Raw genomic sequence first — 18642 nt, forward strand, 5'->3', positions numbered from 1 at the left:
CTATACTTTGTATAGTGCTTTATAATCTACCAGGTCCTTGCTCATATACTGTCTTATTCAGTCCTCACAAAACTGAATGGAGGCTGGTAAGTTTTATCACCTGAAATTTAGAGATGAGTAAACTGAAATTCAGACACTATGAATCATTTGCCTAGTTATTAAGAAAAAGATTTGGGACAAGAACCAAGATTTTTTCTAAGCCTCAAGCCAGTATTCTGCCTGTTATTTGATATTGATTTACTACCCATGAATGAGAGGCTTATTTGAAGGGACTAAAAATCAGTGAAGCTATTTCAGGTTTTATTGTTAAGGCCTGCCATTGATTAGGCATTGTATGGGGGCTTAACATGAAAAATAAGTTTTCCATTAAGTGACAGTAATTGCATGTTCTCTATTTAAATACTTGCTTGGGAGAGACAGGTAGAACTGGACATTGTCTGCAGTAGCGTGTACTCTGACCATTCTCCTAACTGCACAGTGGAATAACTGGGCAAACTGTAAAAATATTGAAGCCTGGATTTCACTCCCAGGGATTCTCATGTCATCAGTCTGGGTGTCAGGAATGAAAGAGGGAGAAACTCCCAATACTTCCTGGTAATACTTCTCCTATCTGCTTGAGGTGCTGTCTCTGGAAAGTTGAAAATACATCTTTGCTCTTTGTAGAAGGAGAACCTATTTCCATACTCCAGGAGGTCTTTATTGTTTTAGTAAATGCTATAGCAACTTTTAGAGGTTTGTGAGACCTGTTTTTGTAAGTGATGACTAGCGATTCTTTGTTTGAATCCAATTTGCCTCAGAAATAACATTTTATAGTTTTAATTTTTTTTCCTCTTTTCTCTTTCTTTTTGCTTAAAAAACAAAACACAACTAGCTTTGAAAAGTACTATCAATGAAGCCTTACCAAAGGACGTGTCTGAGGATCCAGGTAGGAGAAAACCATTTTTGTATACTTTATATATAATTATTTTAAAATAAAAAAACAGCAAGTCAGTGAGTAGAAGATTGATACCTCTGTGATAGTGTGTCTGTTTCTCTCTATTTATTTGTCTTGTATTTTATTACAAGGAAACCTTTTGGCTTTTTACCCTTTCTCTCTTTTCAGGTATGAGAACGGGGTGATATCTTTTCAAGTTTTTAAGTTTCACTGAAAGGATCACGAAGGATCACTCCGTGTGAATATAGGGTCTTGTTACTAAGTGCAAAATTGAGAAGGCTTGAGGTTGAGATGATTTCAACAAGCCATTTTGGGTTTTGTGTAGAGTAAGGAACTTATAGGGTAGATCAATTGGAGGCCCAGAGTTGGTATTTTCCATTTCCAAAGCAGAAATCTCAAATATTTTTATTATGCTTCACCACCAGGAAGGCAACTATATGTGCTTATATATGGAGTGGATTCCAAGGAGAAAAATAAAAGTTGTCCAGTTTTTTGGAGAGTCAGACCTGTGTCTGTGGAGTCATGGAGAATGGCTGCCCCTGTGTCCGCAGCTCTCTGTTGATGGAGCCATCATTGAACCAAGTTGAATCTAGTTAAAAACAAAGTGGCTACAGAAGACATTACTATTTGGAGCTCTAGTTATAAGGACATGAAAAAAGTTGTTGCTTTCTCTTTTGCTGTTTTATTTCTTGTATATTTTTAATAAGTCAATCATGTTTGTTGTGATAAGCTAGCTATCATCCTAGGCTTATTTGTTGAACATTGGAACAGAGGAATCAATATAATGTTGAGGCTTATGCTGTGGTACAATATTTTCCAAATGTCAAGTTCATTCAGAGTTTCAAAGAGAGATGGGTGGAGGGAGAGGAAGGAGTTGGGGGAGTGGGAGAAAAATATGGTAGGGGGAAGGAGAGAGAGAGAGAACATGAGAATGAGAATAAATATGAATGAATGTGGATGATGAATTTCAATTATGGAAGCCTGAGAAGGTGTATTTTTAGGCAGCTCCCCAGTTGGTTCTGGTACATAGCCTATTTTGGGAACCACCAGCTCTGGAAGGTGATGCTACAAAATAGAAAATTAAGGTTATAGATCAACCATGACTCCAAAAGTGATGGGAATTCCCAAGCTTAATTTTGACTCTTGAAACAGATTTGAATTCATTCCTTATTGGGTGAAATGCTCTGTTAATGTAGGCCAACGCCTGGGGTCAGTTCTTTCTAGCTCTTATTTCTGGAGCTAAAGTGGATGCATTCCAGTTTTTGTAAACTTCATGTTGTAGTATTAGTAAAAGCTGTTTAAATTTGGAGTGTTAAATTGGTGCTTCTCCAACAGCCTTTGAGGATCATAACTTTTCCTACTTTTTTTTTTTTTTTTAAGGGATTTTAGCACAAGATCAAGTGTCCTCTGGGGCATGAGCTTTAGATCTCATTTTTAACATTCCTTCATTGACTAGGACATGGCATCACCAAATAAAACTTGTCAGGTGTGCCACAGCATGAGAAGTATGTCGGAATTGATTTCTCGTTGTGCCTGGCAGCATGCTATGTGTTTTCTGATTTGTTCTTCCCACTACTGCCCCTCTCTGGGTATGAGGGAGTTCCTCATCTTAAACATAGTTAATCCCTCCTTTTCTGGGAAATGTTTGGATTCCCAGTGGGAGACACAAGCGTTTCAAGGTGGTGATTTAGAATTCTGGATGGCTGTCCTTGCCATGTGGACCTCAGTTCAGTTGCTGCTTTTTGGAGGGTTAATCTCTAGGCCTGCTCCTCTTTCCATTCCCATTTCCTGGAAAGATGACATGCCTTGAGTGTTCTAGGAAGGTGGCAGTCCTTTTCCCTCTTTCCAGCTACACGAGAAGCTATGATCCACTTGTTGTAATTGCTGAGAGTGTCTATGTTAGTGGAGCCTTAAGAGATTTTTTAAACCAATATCCCATTCCAACCTAATTCAGCAGAGCACCATGCACAATGGTGGTCTTTTTCTTGATGTTTCTGGCCCATGTTGAGGTGTTTTCAGCTGGTTCACCCTCACAGTGCTGTCTTTAGACTGTTGTTGGTGATTCTAGCAGCTGCTCCATTGCCAACTATCACCCCATGTTTTTATTGGAGTAGAGCAGTTCTGTCCTTCCATTACCTGCTCCTACCTGCACCTCCTTTGCTGTCCTAGAAGAAACTAAATTTAGAAACCAGATTTCCAGGCTTAAAAAATTAGGAGCCTTTATTTATGCACTCTACAATAGTAATATTTTGCAATTCTAAAGTACGTTCAGTTTTTAAATTACTTTCACCTTATCTGTCCCTGTGAGAAAGAAACTGCATTTTTATTGCCTTTGTTTTCTAGGTGAGGAGACTGAGGTTCAGGGAAGTAACAGCTAGTTAGTGTCATGGCCAGGAGGAGGGCCTTAGTCTCAGGACTCCTGGCCTGGTCTCTAGTCCTGTCTCTCCACTACTCATCCACACCCTCACCCCATCTGTCTGTCTGTCTATCTCTTACCAGCAGGGCTCACCCCTCCTTCCACACCCATCCCTACCAGCAAAAAGACAAAGATAATGGCACTTGACAAAGGAATTAACAGTCACCATGGTCTGATTTGGGGAACAGTATTTTATCATGGCGGGGACCTCTCCTACCCATGTATTTCTTGAAAGCAGTGGGGCCTGAGGGAGAAGAGGGCCACGGAGCCAGCTGCAGGCAGCCTGCGTAGAGGGCTTCCCCAGCTCTGTGGTGAGTCTGGTCCACTCTGTCCACCCAGCCCCAAGGCAGCCTCCTGAGCTGGGAGAGAGGCTTCCTGAGGTCGCTTTCTTTGCTGCCTGGGGTTTGTAGGAGGGAGGGAGGTCTTTTTCTGTCTATATCCAGGTGTGGGTGCACGATAATGGGCAAAAGGGGACTCAAACTCCTTGGGCTTTCCAGGCTTTCCTGCACTCTGGCAGCGTTTCAGCTGTTTGAAGTTGGAAGATCTCTGTGTTCTCACTACAACAAGCCAAAATGCTTGGGTTGGGAGAAGTGTATCTCTTGTGCAGCTGACCAGTAGTTTGCTTTGTGCCTTGTTAGCATTTATGAGGATTTTCACCTCCCCTCTCTGTCCTGTTATCTAACCCAAGGATTTTAATGATCATCATAAATTCAGGCTGCTTCATACCAAGGAGGGTTTTTATCTTTGGAGCAATGTAAAAGAGGATGAGATAATGCAGTGAGACATTTTCTTTTTGGAAGAATTCATGCAGACAAAGAAATTACATTCTTCTTGTTCTGTGTTACTAGCACCTTTTCTATGATTTTTTATGACATTTTATGATGAAAAATTTGCAATGTTTGTAACACCTGAGCATAGCTACTGGTTCCTAAAGTTGTCTTCCATAGAGGATTGAAAGCATAAAAAGAGGATCAGTGTTTTTGTAAATGTTTCTAATTACTCCTCACAACTTGTGATGGGGAAGAAGGCTGTATGGGCGTTGGTAGTGAGCAAGTTAGTTTATGATTTAAATTTGATGAGGAAAAGTCATATGGCTGGGAAAAGATTCAGCGATATTGTTCATAATTCTCTGTATGATTTGGTCACAGACATGTGGGACACAAGGATATTTTCTTACAGGAGAAGCTGTATAGCTCATTTCCACTTACTTGTGAGAGCTTTGTTTTTTTGTGGCCATGCTGCTCTGGTAGTGTATTTTTTTTTTTTTAAAACGTGTAGTTAGATAGACTTCTTCCTATCCTTCAGGGTAGACTAGTTCAAAATCTATTACTAGACTATCATGATAGAACAAGAAACCCTGAAGTGTGAATCCATCATTATATAAAAAGACAACCCCCTTTCAAGGGGGTTGTCTTTTTATACTGGAATGTCTTCATTAATTAACTTGGATTTGAGAATGGCCTCTCAAATAGTGCTTGACCAAAGGAAAAATATGCTGGTTTTTCTTTCCTTTTAATCGTTTCTTTAGATTTTGAAATAAAACAAGGAAATCATGAAAATGTGGGAGCCGTCCAGTTCTCCACATGGGCACTTTTACCTCACATTTACCTGTTGATGTGTTCTGTACTAGCCCAGGTGCTGCATATAAACTTGTTTAACTGCAGAAATGAAACCCAAGCAATATCTTTGTTTCAGCAACTCCCAAGGATTCCAACAGTCTCAAAGCAAGACCAAGATCCAGGTAGTGTTCGTTTAATTTCTGCTTTAATGCCCTTTGTGCCGTGCCCCTGCCTAGAAATAAGAACCACAAACCAAAACCCAACCCATGATTTCCTCTTCCTTTAGATGTAAAGCTTAGGATATGAGCCATTTCGCTCGTGCATGGCCTGATGGGAACATGCAGTAATGCTGGGAGCCTTGGTTTCTGTGGTCATTAGTGCTAGAAGGTGACCATGAATGCCCTACGGCCCCTCAACGTGAAGTGGATTGTGTGAGACAACCCAGTTGTTGCAAGATGATAACTTATAGGGGGAAGTAGCTTTGGAAAGAGGAAAATATGGGTAAGGTAACAGACACGAAAATTTGCTATCATGACAAGGTGAACACCAAAAAGTAAAAAGTCTGGGTAATAAAATCTACAGTAGGGAAAGAAAATGCTTCTGATAACTTCAGTGAAGCTTGCAGTTTCAGGTAAGCGATGTTTATGGTCTGTTTGAGCCTATCTTAGTGCCCCTGTAAGCTTCACATTTTTTAAGAGGCTAGTACAAGAGAGAAAGCCAGTAAGGCAGAGCTGTGGTTGATGTGAGACTCAGAAGAGAGGTGCAGAGGGGAAATACAGAGACACTAATAGAATTAATCCATTAAGGAAGGGAAATGGTATTGGTACTGTATTTCACTGGTAGAACTGCAGTGTAAGATAGGATAACGAGGATACCATGTGTGTGTTTTCTGTTTTGCTTTGGCTGTTAGTGACATTTTTCCCTCCTTTGCCTACTAGACACAATCCTGAAAAAGTAAATTTAAGTCTGATCATATTTTATATGCTTGAAATACTGATATTTAAGGAACCTCATCTCTTTGTAAGTCAAAGAGTTATCCTTTAGTTTATATGTGCATTTTCCAAATTGGGGTTTTGTTTCCTTGTTTATGTAAGATACAGATATCTATATTTTTATATTTATGTGTATTTAAAAACAATAGAGTAATTCATTTAGGTAGGAAGAAAAGGTGTAGGCATTCTTTCTGTGGTCAACACATTTACTCATCCTTTGTAAAAGGATGAATGGATCTTTTACAAACTAGTCTGTACTAGTTGTGGGATATGCTTTCATAGTAGGAATTGCCTTTGAATTGCAGAAATCTGTTATGTGTACTATGTTAACCATAAATCGAACCTCAAAGTTTTAGCTTCTGCTGACTTCCTCTCTCCCTGAAAGCCAGTGAAATTATAAAATCTCATAGCCACACGTTCTGTTATTAATGTGTCTGGCTAAATTTTACATATTATCCTTTCAGAGATTGCGCTTTTGGTCTAATTTGGAGGATTTTATTTTCATTACTTCTCACTGGGAAGAAGAGAATTGAATTGTTTTTATCCTCCTTTTTGAAATAATAAAGTTTTGTAGAAATATAAGGGAAAGAGGGAAAATCACCATTTTAACACCACTGCATTCATCATTTTGTTAACTCCCTGCACATTTATGTTTTAATTGGTTGCAGCAGTCATGGTTATACAATCTCACTTATTTTATATTCAGTAACTTTCCATATGAAGATATAAACATACAGGTTATATATGAAAATAAAATGAAAATGAGGAATGTGCGCTGTGGGATTGTGTGCTTAACAGTGTGCACGCATACACATTATTTACACACACATTATTTCTTTTTTGAGTGAAAGATGTCACTAAAGCTATATGTGGCATAGAAAGCTCTTTTCATTTCTAGCTAGGGTCTCTAATTGTCTTTTTTAAGTGAAGTGTTCCCATTTAAGAACCTTGTCCTTCCGTATCAGTTCCCTTTGATTCTTGTTGAAAGAGCCAGAGCATTCTTCCCTGCTAGTTTCTGCCTGTTGCTGCCTTGCCTGTCTTGCCAGTTATGTTACAGGGACCACCCCAGAACACGTCACATGCCATTATGGTGGCTTTATTAAAGTTACAACCTTGTAAGACAGACAGAACCCTCAACTACCACAAAGAATCCTTGAGAAATTTATTCAGGAAAATAAAAACTCACAATGTCAAAAACAGCTCTGTCAAGAACTGAAGGGGTTTAATAGTAACTGATATATTCTAACTTCATAAATGCCACTCTAATAGCTAAGTACGAAGAAGGTTTTCAGAGGTTAATTTGTCTCTCTAGGATGTACCTCTGACTCAGAGGTCGTTTTCTGCTTTGACATGAAGCTAGTTGAGAAGCTAAATAAAACAGATGTATACATCTACATCTTAGGGCCTTTTCGTGATCATCGTATTGGGAACCCGTCCTTAAACCTATTCCTAAGCAGTGTATGGAGTTGAATTTTATTTGGAAAGTAAGTAGGTCTCCAATAAATATTCTAGTTGCTATCACCAAAGTATTCCCCCGCCAACTCATAGGCAGTATGAGAACATTTTAAAAATGGGATATAGAAACAGAGATTGGAGTTTGAATCGAACTGTGTAACTTTCTATCTGACCTTTTGCAAGTTATTTAGTTCCTTTTTAAAAAGATGATATTACCAGAGTTACAATCTCAGAAGTTGCCTAGTTAATTATGCCTTGCTATAGATTGAGGAAGAAGGTTGAAAATGAGACTTTTGCTTTCTCAGGGAAAGACAAGCTAGACCCCTCAATCTGATTGATGTGTGTTTTCCTTTCCCAGCTTCGTTTGTGGCATATTCCCCTGAACATTGAATTCTTACCCTCAGCTTATCTGTCCCAATTCCACATGAGCCTGTCATCACATTTGCAAGTGAACAGGAGAAAAGTTCTCTGATCAGTTTATACCATGAAATACCATGAAGCCCTTCTGTTAGAACATGGAAATGCCTAAGCTGAGGGGCTCCATATTATTCTTATTAACAATTCCAATAGAAATGGATTTGAATTTACACAAAGTTTTTTTTGGGGGGTTGATTCAGATCTAAGGTATAATAAGAACAAAGAGGTTGAAAAGATCCCAATTCATAGTTGGATTTGGACAATTATTGTACATAGTGGCATTCAATGGGTAATAGAATTTATGGCTGCTTTGGTAGCTCATCGGTTCTTTGTAGTCACTTTGACTTCGTGGGTATTTTCCATTTCACCCCAACTTCAGAGAGTAAAGCTTTGCTATTTCGCTTCTGACCTTCCCTTATTTTGCTACAGATCTTACTCTAGCACCTCCATAGAAGAGGCCATGAAAAGGGGCGAGGACCCTCCCACCCCGCCACCTCGGCCACAGAAAACCCATTCCAGAGCCTCCTCCTTGGATCTGAATAAAGTCTTCCAGCCCAGTGTGCCAGGTGAAGTGCCCCTTGCCCCCTGAGCCCTTCCATTTCCTGTTGGAGCCAGCGGATGTGTGTCTGCCACAGTGGCCTCTGTGAGTCCGGAGAAAGAGCAGACCTGGCAGTTTCGCATTCCGTGAAGGTCTTCACGTGGCTATGGTATTCTTGGGAGAGAAAGCAATTCTAGACACATATGTAGCACATGTGTCTGGAGCCTTGCCCACACTTGTTATGGATCAAGAATTAGGAAATTCTCTACCAAGAGGATAAAAATGCTTCACTCCCATGCAGCCTGCTGAGTGTGTGGCTGGGGTCTTACTCTCTGCATCATTGGTAATTTGTGAACAAGATAGATCGCTGTCTGTCATTTCCTCAGATGCCTGTGTGGTCTTCTATGAAAGATCTTGGAGATTAAGGCCTAGCCAGAACCTTCTCCTGCATTTTACACTTATGGAGAAGATCCTGTGTCCTGTAGGATTTAATGCTGAGGGGACTCTGAATCTGACTGATGGTTGGGTGGTTGGTGGAGGGTCCTAGGGCAAGGGCTCCTTCAGGTGGGCTGCTCTGGGCTTCTGGGGATGGGATGTTCTTGAGCCCGCAGTTGTGTAGTGGGGCTGGAGGTGGGGGAGGCCCAGAGGGGCCCTGTCTGCTCCCTTGGCTTCCTGTGAAGTAGAAGATACCCTCCTAAGGAACCTAAGGAATAGAAGATGGGAGGCATGCCTTTGCTTTAGTGAAGGTGATAGGATACGGTGCTGTCCCAAGTGTTATTTTGGGAGCAGCAAGGGCCTTTCCACTGACTCATGCAGGCAAGCTATAAATACAATGATTTCCTGGAACTTTTTCTCCATCTATGTGCATTTTAAATCAGGCCAGCCTCAGATGCTAGTGATTTGCAGATTATTATCTTTTCTGCTAAAGCAAGAAAAGACTTTCCTTGGCTCACACATTAGCATGACCTCTGTGTCTGGGCAGAGCTCAGCATGTTTTATTTGTTCTAATAAAGTATTCTCCTCACAGTAAAGTTATAGATTGTTTTTTAATATACTAAAATCTGGAACTCTCTATCAAATTTAATTCTGTGCCATGAGTTCATCAGACAAAAATTTGCCTTGAATTTCCTCTCATACTTTGATCTGAATTCTGGCATAAATTTCATAGTGACTGGTATGTAGGGTGGGAGTAACCACAGGTGATGATGCTATAAAAATTTCACATGGCTGGCGGATTATGACCTGGAAGATTTTCCTATGGATGCGAGAAAATTAAAACAATCTGGGAAGCTATCTCAGTACCTTTACCTTGCAAGAAGGGAGGCTGGAAATGCTCACAGGTCTCTCTCAGGTTGTGTGACCCAGTAAGGAGATGCCAGCTGTACTGGAGAATTCACATGCTGTGGTTTTTACGACACTGCATCACATAGTGGAAGAGACAAAACTGGGTTTGGAGCTCAGCTCAGCTGCTTATTCACTGTTTGATTTTCAGCAAGTAGCTTAATGTTTATGCATCTCAGATTCCTAATCTGTACAGTAGAGCCAATACTCCATGGAGTTGTAAGGTTTTGGTGAGATAATAAACATAATCCAAATATGGGTTGAATATTCCTTATCCAAAATACTTGGGGTCACAAGTGTTTCAGGCTTTGGATATTTTTGGATTTTGGAATATTTGCATTATATGCTTACCAATTGAGCATATAATAAAAAAATCTGAAATGCTTCAATGACCATTTCCTTTGAGTGTCATGTTGGCACTAAAAAGTTTAGGGTTTTATAGCATTTTGGATTTTGGATTTTTGGGATTAGGGATACTCAACCTGTAGTACTGTATTTGGCCCACAGGCCTTAGTAAGCATGTAAGGCCCATATTCCCGTGGCCTGCAAGTATCAAGAATTTAATGCCTGAAATGGCAAGCCTCCACCGAGGAGGATAACACCCCGACTTCCTTGACCCCTAGCAGACAATTCTGTGATTCCTCCTACCCAGTTTCTCAGAAGGCTCGCAAAAGGACTGAACCCCAGTTGCCTGCCGTAGTACACCATTCATTGATGTACTTTTTCTTGTTTTGCTTCCCTCCTGCCCTGTCTCACTTTCCCCTCACTCGAATAATATACCTGTTCTCAAGTTCATATGTCAGGGGCTTCTTTAGAGAAAACCTGAATTAAGACAGCTTTCTTTGATATCTCTGTGTCAATGTGACTTCAAGATGAAAAGTATTTTGGTTTGATAATGCCCTGACGATCTCCCTTGTGGTAGGGCCTGATAAATCTAAGATTTAGACAAATAATAGCTAGGTGGGTGATGTCTCTGTTCATAGCCTAATTCCATTGTCTTTTCAGTACAAATTTATACAGATGAAATTTTAATGAGCAGTTTAAATTTATCACATGAAGAATAGAACATTTCTGCAGTATGAAAAGCAGGTGGTATAATTGCATCTACTTTATTTATTTTCATGTTGGTTAATTCTCACAGAAAAGTATAAGGGTCTGTCTAAATTATATAAAATTTTAGTGTATTGCATATTGCTAGAAATTATCGAAATGCTGACAAACTAGAAATGCATGAAATAGAGCTTAAACCTACCAGAAGAGTCTACTCACTGAGAATCATGGTGTACATTTAGGCATCCCTTTGCTGCACTTATCTTTATGTATCACTTTAGATAAATGGGATCACACTATGCTTGCTGTTCTGTATCCTGATCTTTCCAATTAACCATCTTTCTATTTCATATAGAGGATTGCACCGTTCCCTTTAAGGTGTGCATGATATGGATATACCATGGTTGACTGTGCTTTGATGGAGAGATCTCTCCCTTCTTCTCTCTGCCTTTTCTCTTCCCCATACTTTCCTCTTAAGCTCACCCACCACCCCACGACCCCAGCCCCCGTTCCTTTCTCACCCTTGCAAACAAACCTCTCTCTCTCTCCACCCCGACCCCCGTGTCCTCTTCATACCCCTCTGTTTCTCTTTTTGTCCTTCTCCCCCATCACTCCTTCACAGGTATGAGCCTCCCCTCACTCTCCCCTTGCCAAGCTCCCCCACACCACCACCTTGTTCTTATAATATAAACGAGGCAGAGGTTATTAATAATTTCATGTCCGTATCTTTGTTTCATCATCTAATTATTTTCTTAGGTTAAATCCTGCTGGTTGGAGTTGCAGGGTCAAAGGCTGTAGATGTTTAAAGTGTAGCTATATGTTGCCAAAGGGTGAGGTGGAACACCTGTCAACTTGCTCCATCATCAACACTGTCTGAAAGTGTTTCCTCACAATCTTGCCAACACTGCTTCATGTTCATCTTTTTAATCATTACCTGTGTAATAGGCAGTTTCATGTCCCTGATTCCTAGTGAGGCTGAGAATCTTTTTGTATTGTTATTGGCCATAAATATTCCTTCTCTTATGATTTGCCTGCTCAGAAGGCTTGGCCAGCTTCTGTTGCTACATCTCTCTTTGCCTAACCACGGGGACCACTTCTTTCTTCTTCATTTTGCCTACGTTCTGGACCTCCCTCCTGTCAGGCACTTGGGAATGTGAGGGTGGCCATGGGGAAGCCTACCTCACCTGCTGCTGTGCTGTTCCTTGTCCCTCCAGCCCCGCCCCCCATATCCCCTCCTTCTGCCAACTTTATCACTTAAGACAGACTGCCTGGGTCACCCTGTTTATGACAATAGAAGAATAAGGAAAGGTAAAGAAAAGAGGGGAAAATAATGTGAGATGAAGCAAGATGTGGACTTGAGTTGAAAGGGAAAGATAAAATGAAGCCCTTGTTTAATAAAATGAGACTCAGGATTGTGAAAAGCAGTGATTGAAGCTAAGGTGCTGATACAGAGTGGCTTAAAGTGGAGTGATAGTGTGGAAAGGAAATAGGATGGAGAGAAGATGCAAAGAAAAATGAAAGGAAAATGAAGGGAAAGATGGGATGGTTGTTACATAGGAGTGATGATGTTTATCCAAAGGAATAAGCAGGAAATAGAATAAAAAATTGTAGAACCAATGGAAGGAGAGTCCACAGACTCTTGGTGTAGGATTCAAGCAGCATTTAAAGGAATAGCTTAGAAGTAGGTGGCATTAATGCCTTTACATTTATGAAAATAGGTAACATGATATGGGGAAAAAGAACAAAGGGCTGATTTAGAATGTAAATCTATAAAAATGAATAAGGCCAACTTTGGAAATATAGAACAGTTGGCTTCAACTTTGGTGTCTGTAAAGAGAGTGTGAATGTGTGATTTATAGTAGCCTAGATGATTCCAGGGCTCTCTAGGTACTGGCATCAGACCCGAGGCATGTGTTTTCATAAGGAGAAGCGGATACACTATGATCGCTGTGTGTAACAGGGAGATCACCATTTGTAATAGCTGACCCAGTTCTTGGAGCCATTGCCTCACAGTCCCACACAGCTGCTGTGTTTGAGAGATAGCAAAAATGTGCAAGAAAGTCTAAGTCAGTGACAATGCAAGTATGCAAAACCTAGAGGCAGTCAGACCTGGAATTTGCTCAGTGATGTTTGGATTTTATGTCTCTATATTTATAGCTATGAAACATCTTTTATTACTGAGATTCCTGTAAGAAAAATCACACTAAGCTGGTACCTAACCTCCTTTTCCTCAATGAAACAGTTATTTTCATGAGGTAATTTTTTTTTCATAAAAAGGGGTTTCTTCTGTCCACGGAGTCAGTAAGAACTACCCCTCTCTTCTACTCTTGATTCAGACCTGCCTCTTCTCAAAGCCATGCCTGAGGTTTGTAGCCTGAGGTTTCCATGGTGACAGTAAAAAGCCTTAGCTCTGCCTTGTTCCAGTCATTGAGCATCTGCCTGGCAGAAGGGGCAGAGATGGTGTGGAGGAGACATAGCCATTCCTTTAAAGTTTCAGACCGGGCATTTTCATCATTTCCACTCAAATCTAGCTGGGGGACCTAGGCCCATGGATAGACCTAGTTGCCAGGCAGCTGGGAAATGTAGTCCTTGGCAGGGCAGCCATTTCCCAGAAATACGTTTCTTACTGCAAAAAAGGAGAAGGGGATGTTGATGGTCAGTTGTTTTTTTTTAAAACCACATCCCATATGGCCAAATACATTGAGATTCACACATTAAAACCATTGTGATGGCTGAACAGAACACATCCAGGGCTAGTGTCTGTCCATGGGTAGCTAATTTCCTATCTCTGCTTTAGATATACTGATAATAACAACTCATTCCATGGTTAAGAGACTATGGTACATCCATCCTATGGAATTGTATGAAGCTGTTAAAAAGAACAGGCACGTATACTACATGGAGAGCTATCTCGGATAAATTAAGTGACAAAAGTATGATGCAGAATGTGTATGTTTATAAATGTGTAGACAATTTCAGGATGATGCTAAAGAAACTGGTAATGATAGTTGCTTCTGGGCAAGGGGAACAGTATGACTGAGGACAGGACTGGGAAACAAGCTTACTTTCTGTTGAATGCCTATTTGTATCTTTTTAATTTTGGCTCATGTACAGATGTCACCTATTATAAAAAATTTGCTTTTCACTCTTTAGCTGCAATGATGGTATCTGAAAGTACCAGAGATGTCTTTCCTGCCTGAGGTTACCTATCTCAATCTTCCCTACGATTCTGTATTCAGGGTATCTTTATGACCATCTGCTACCACCTCCTGGAATGCAGCTGAAATGACAGAAATGTTCCGAGCACTTTTTTTTTTTTTTTTTTTTTTTGAGATGAAGTCTCGTTCTGTCACCCAGGCTGGAGTGCAGTGGCGTGATCTCAGCTCACTGCAAGCTCCGTCTCCCGGGTTCATGCCCATTCTCCTGCCTCGGCCTCCCAAATAGCTGGGGACTACAGGCACCTGCCACCACGCCCTGCTAATTTTTTGTATTTTTAGTAGAGACGGGGTTTCACCGTGTTAGCCAGGATGGTCTCAATCTCCTGACCTCATGATCCACCCGCCTCAGCCTCCCAAAGTGCTGGGATTACAGGCATGAGCCACTGCGCCCAGCCCCGAGCACTCTTTTAAGCTCTGATGCGTTCTTCAGATTCCATTTCAGTGCCTTTCCAACACTGAGGAGTAGTTCTGGAGGACCTCCCAAAGATTACATTGTGAGATGTATAGTTGGGTAAAACGTCATGGTAAGGGCTCTGTCTTAACTTGGAAGTGGCTGTGTTTATTGAGTGGCGAATTGAGAAGTCTTTCCTCGGTTTTCTATAAATGAATATTTGTTTCTGTAACTTAAGAAGTAGGTAAACTCCTTGGGAGTAAGAGATGTTCCTAATACCAAACTTACCTTTCAGGTTCTCTAAAAGATGAATTTGGCCACAAAAGCAGCTCTGACCTTATATATTTCCTTACTGTATTTTTCCTGTGAGTGCTACTTGTTTCTTTTAAAATCTGGTAGGACTATGGGATTCCTGACCCACCCCAAACCTTTGGGCCCACAGTGCACAGCTATCCAAGGGTTCAATTTGGCAGTCTGGGCAGTTTTTTTGTTTTGTTTTGTTTTTTTGTTTTTTTTAAATGAAAGCGTTATTGAGATGTAACCCATATACTATAAAATTCACCTTTTTAAAGTGCACAATTCAGTGATATTTAGTATATTCATAGTGTTATATATAACTATCAGCACTATGTAATTTCAGAATATTTTCATCCCCCTCAAAAGAAACCCCATACCTATTAGCAATCATTCCCATTCCCCCCTTTTCTTCCTCTATCCCTTGGCAACCACTAACTTACTTTCTGTTTCTATGGATTTGCCCATTCCGGAATTCTGTATTAATAGAATCATATAATATGTGGTCTTTTGTGACTGGCTTCATTCACTTAGTATAATGTTCTCAAGGTTCATCCATGTTGTAGCATGAATCAATACTTCATTCCTTTTATGGCTGAATAATCTTTCATTGTATGGATAAACCACATTTTGGATATTTGGGTTGTTTCCACTTTTTGACTATTGTGAATAACTCTGCTATAGACATTCATGTCCAAGTTTTTGTGTAAACATATTTTTTCTTTCTCTTGAGTATATAGGTAGGGCTGGAATTTCTGGTTCATATGGTAACTAACTCTATGTTGAACATTTTGAGGAGCTATTGAAGTATTTTCCAGAGCAGCCAAACCAATTTATTTCATTAGCAATTTATGAGGATTCCAATTGTGTTTCTTCACGTCCTCAAAACACTTGTTATTGCCTTTTTAATTTTAGCCATCCTAGTGGGCATGAAGTGGTATTGTGATTTTGATTTGCATTTTCTAATGGCTAATGATGTTATACATCTTTTCATGTACTTATTGGTCATATTTATGTTGTCTTTGGAGAATGTTCAGAATCTTTGCTCATTTAAAAATTGGGTTGTCTTTTTATTGTTGATTTGTAAATGTTCTTTATATATTTTGCATAAAAGTTCCTTTACAGATATTTGATTTACAAATATTTTCCTTCGTTCTGTGGGTTGTCCTTTCATCTTTTTGATGGTGTCCTTTGAATCATAAAAGATTTTAATTTTGATGAGGTCTAATTTATGTATTTTGTTGCTTGTGCTTTTGCTGTCATATCTAAAAAACCATTGCTTAACTCAAGGTCACAAACACTCCTCTTTTCTTCTAAAAGTCTTATAGTTTTAGGTCTTACATTTACGTCTTCGTTCTGTTTTGAGTTAATTTTTTTATATGGCATGAGTTAGGAGTCCAAATTCATTTTTCTGCATGTGGATATACAGTTGTCCCAGTACCATTTGTTGAAAAGACTATTAATTATCCATTTAATTTTCTTGGCACCTTTGTTGAAAATCAATTAACCATAAACATAAGGATTTATTTCTGGACTCTCAGTTCTGTTCTGTTGGTCTATAGGTCTATCCTTATGCCAGTACCACAGTGTCTTGATAATTGTAGATTTATAGTAAGTTTTGAAATTGCGAAGCGTGAGTCCTCCTGCTTTATTCTTTTTCAGGATTGTTTTGGTTATTCTGAGTCCCTTGCATTTCCACATGAAATTTATGATCAGCTTGTCAATTTCTGTAAAAACAAAAAAGCCAGCTGGGATTTTGGTATGGCTTGCATTGAATTTGTATATCAGTTTGGTTAGTATTGCGGTTTTAATAACATTAAGTTGTCCAATGCATGAACACAGGATGTTTTTCCATTTATTTAGATCTTTAAGTGTCTTTCAACAATGTTTCAGTATACAAGTCTTGCATTTCTTTTGTTAAATGTATTCCTAAAAGTTTTATTCTTTTTGATATACATTATACATTATTTCTTGGAGATATCCATGTCAGTACTGATAATTTTGTATTTCTTTTATATATCATCTATATGCTGGCTGCTCTGTTAAAAACCGTATTATGAAAAATTTCAAATTTATGCAAAAGTTGAGAACCTCCACCCCCATATTATTTTGAAGCAAATCCCAAATATCATATAATTGTATATATAAACTCTTTGTATATCTCTCTAAGAGATAAGGTCTTAAAATACTTGAGCACAATACCTTTGTCATACATAACAAAATTAACAATAATTCTTTAATATCATTTAATATTTGGCCAGTGTTCCTATTTCCTGAATTGTCTCAAGTTTGTCTTTTTATACTAGTTTGTTCCATTCAGAATTCAATCGAGGGCTACATGCACATTGCACTTGTTTTGGCATATTTTAAGTCTCTTAACTGATAGGTTCTTCTCTCAGTCTTTTTTTTCCTCTTTGCTTTTCATTTATTCATAAAAAGTCATCTACCTTGTAGACTTTTTCACATTCTGTATTTTGCTGATTGTTTGTTCTTCCATCCCATGTATTTCCTATAAACTAATAGGTAGGTCTAGGCTTGATTAGAGTTAGTTTAGATTTTTGACAAGAATACTACCTAAAGATGCTGTGTACTTCTTACTGCACCACATTAAGAGATCTCTAGTGTCTAATGCCTTTATTTTTGTGGTGTTTGATTGATTAATGGGTTTACGTAGTATTGGCCTGATCCATGTGTTATGATAAAGATCCCAGCGACCTTTCAAATAATGGTTTTATCAGCTATTGATCATCATTGCCTACATCCAGTGGTGTGTCAGTGAATGTTTAACAACCGGCCACTTGCCAATTTTTATGGTGTAAACACTCCTGCCATGGCTAATTTCATTCCTACTGATGTGTTACTGAATGTGGAGTTTGGAACAGATGCACACAGTTGGCTCTCACAAGCTGGCATGAGCTTTTTCCAGCAAACCACTGCTTAGATCCATTATTTCATTGGTAGTTGCAAAATGGCGATACTCTATTTTTTCTACCTTTATTAATTGGGACTATGGTTTATTTAAGCATTTTCCTATTGTTGGACATTTAATTTGTGACTATTATGAAGCTTGTGAGCTGAAGGAGATCATAAAACATAATTCTCAGTACATCAGTAAATTCTTTATATACATCTGAATTTATAGAATTGTATGAAAACTGAAATAGACTTCAGTAATGGTGACCAGAAAAGTGTCTTATTCAACCAGTATTTAATGAGCATTTACTGGGTACTTGGCACTTTGGAGGATCCCAAGAGGGATATGGATATGCCCCCAAACTCTGCTAATCAATGTCACAGTTGTGTGTGATTGTTAGAAGGGTTTAGAGTTTGGGTGGTTGCTAACTAGAATGATCAGTGGATTTGTGGGCAGGGGGTGCACAGGGCTGGTGAGCTAAACTTTGAAGGATATGACTTTTCAGTCAAATCCTATTCTTTTTTGACATCTGTCTTGATTTACTTCTTATGACTAGTTTCCTGGGTGTCTACTATAGTAGCCTCAAATCTGGCTTGCTTGCTTTGTTCTTTCCTTCATAAAGCAACAGGATTAATTTTCTGCAGCACACCTATGATCACTTCCCTACTCAAAACTCTTCAGGACCTACTATGTAATCACCAAATTTCTGGTGGAACTGAACCCGAAGCCATGTGATTATATTAGCTCAGTAAGGGACACAGTACTGTGGCCTGGAGTGCCTGGGGAGGAGTGTATTACAGGAAGGAAGTAGAGACTAGAAGATTCAAGTTGGCTGGCTGGCCAAGAAAAATGGAGACTGGTGGAGAAGGAGTTTGTAGACGGTGTCTTTGGGAAGTCTTAGGAGAACATCCCATTAGGGTGGTAGGGTTAAGCCAGATTGCAAAAGATTGTGGCATAAGCAAGGAACTTTGGTGTGGAGAAGTTGTCATCACAAAGTCATTTTGAAATGTCGAAGGTTTAGCAGTTGTTCTGACTGTATGTCACATTTTAAAAAATAATGGTAGTGGCCAGGTGCAGTGGCTCATGCCTGTAATCTCAGCACCCTGGGAGGCCGAGGTGGGTG

The 18642-nt window shown here is 39.5% G+C and overlaps 1 protein-coding gene across 17 annotated transcripts in view; it reads left to right on the forward strand.

Annotated features, from left to right (window-relative positions):
* Positions 1-18642, forward strand: part of REPS2 (RALBP1 associated Eps domain containing 2) — a 249998-nt gene that overhangs the window by 122411 nt on the left and 108945 nt on the right. For 11 of the 17 annotated variants that reach the window (XM_017029956.3, XM_011545603.3, XM_011545605.3 and 8 more), the window contains 3 exons: positions 872-925; positions 5046-5091; positions 8203-8339. In XM_017029956.3, coding sequence (XP_016885445.1) covers positions 872-925; positions 5046-5091; positions 8203-8339 — 237 coding nt within the window. The remainder of the gene's footprint in view (positions 1-871; positions 926-5045; positions 5092-8202; positions 8340-18642) is intronic. The other 6 variants (XM_011545606.3, XM_024452479.2, XM_005274625.4 and 3 more) reach the window with 2 other exon arrangements.

The sequence above is a fragment of the Homo sapiens genome, chromosome X, assembly GCF_000001405.40.
Source record: "Homo sapiens chromosome X, GRCh38.p14 Primary Assembly".
Taxonomy (NCBI): Eukaryota; Metazoa; Chordata; class Mammalia; order Primates; family Hominidae; genus Homo; species Homo sapiens.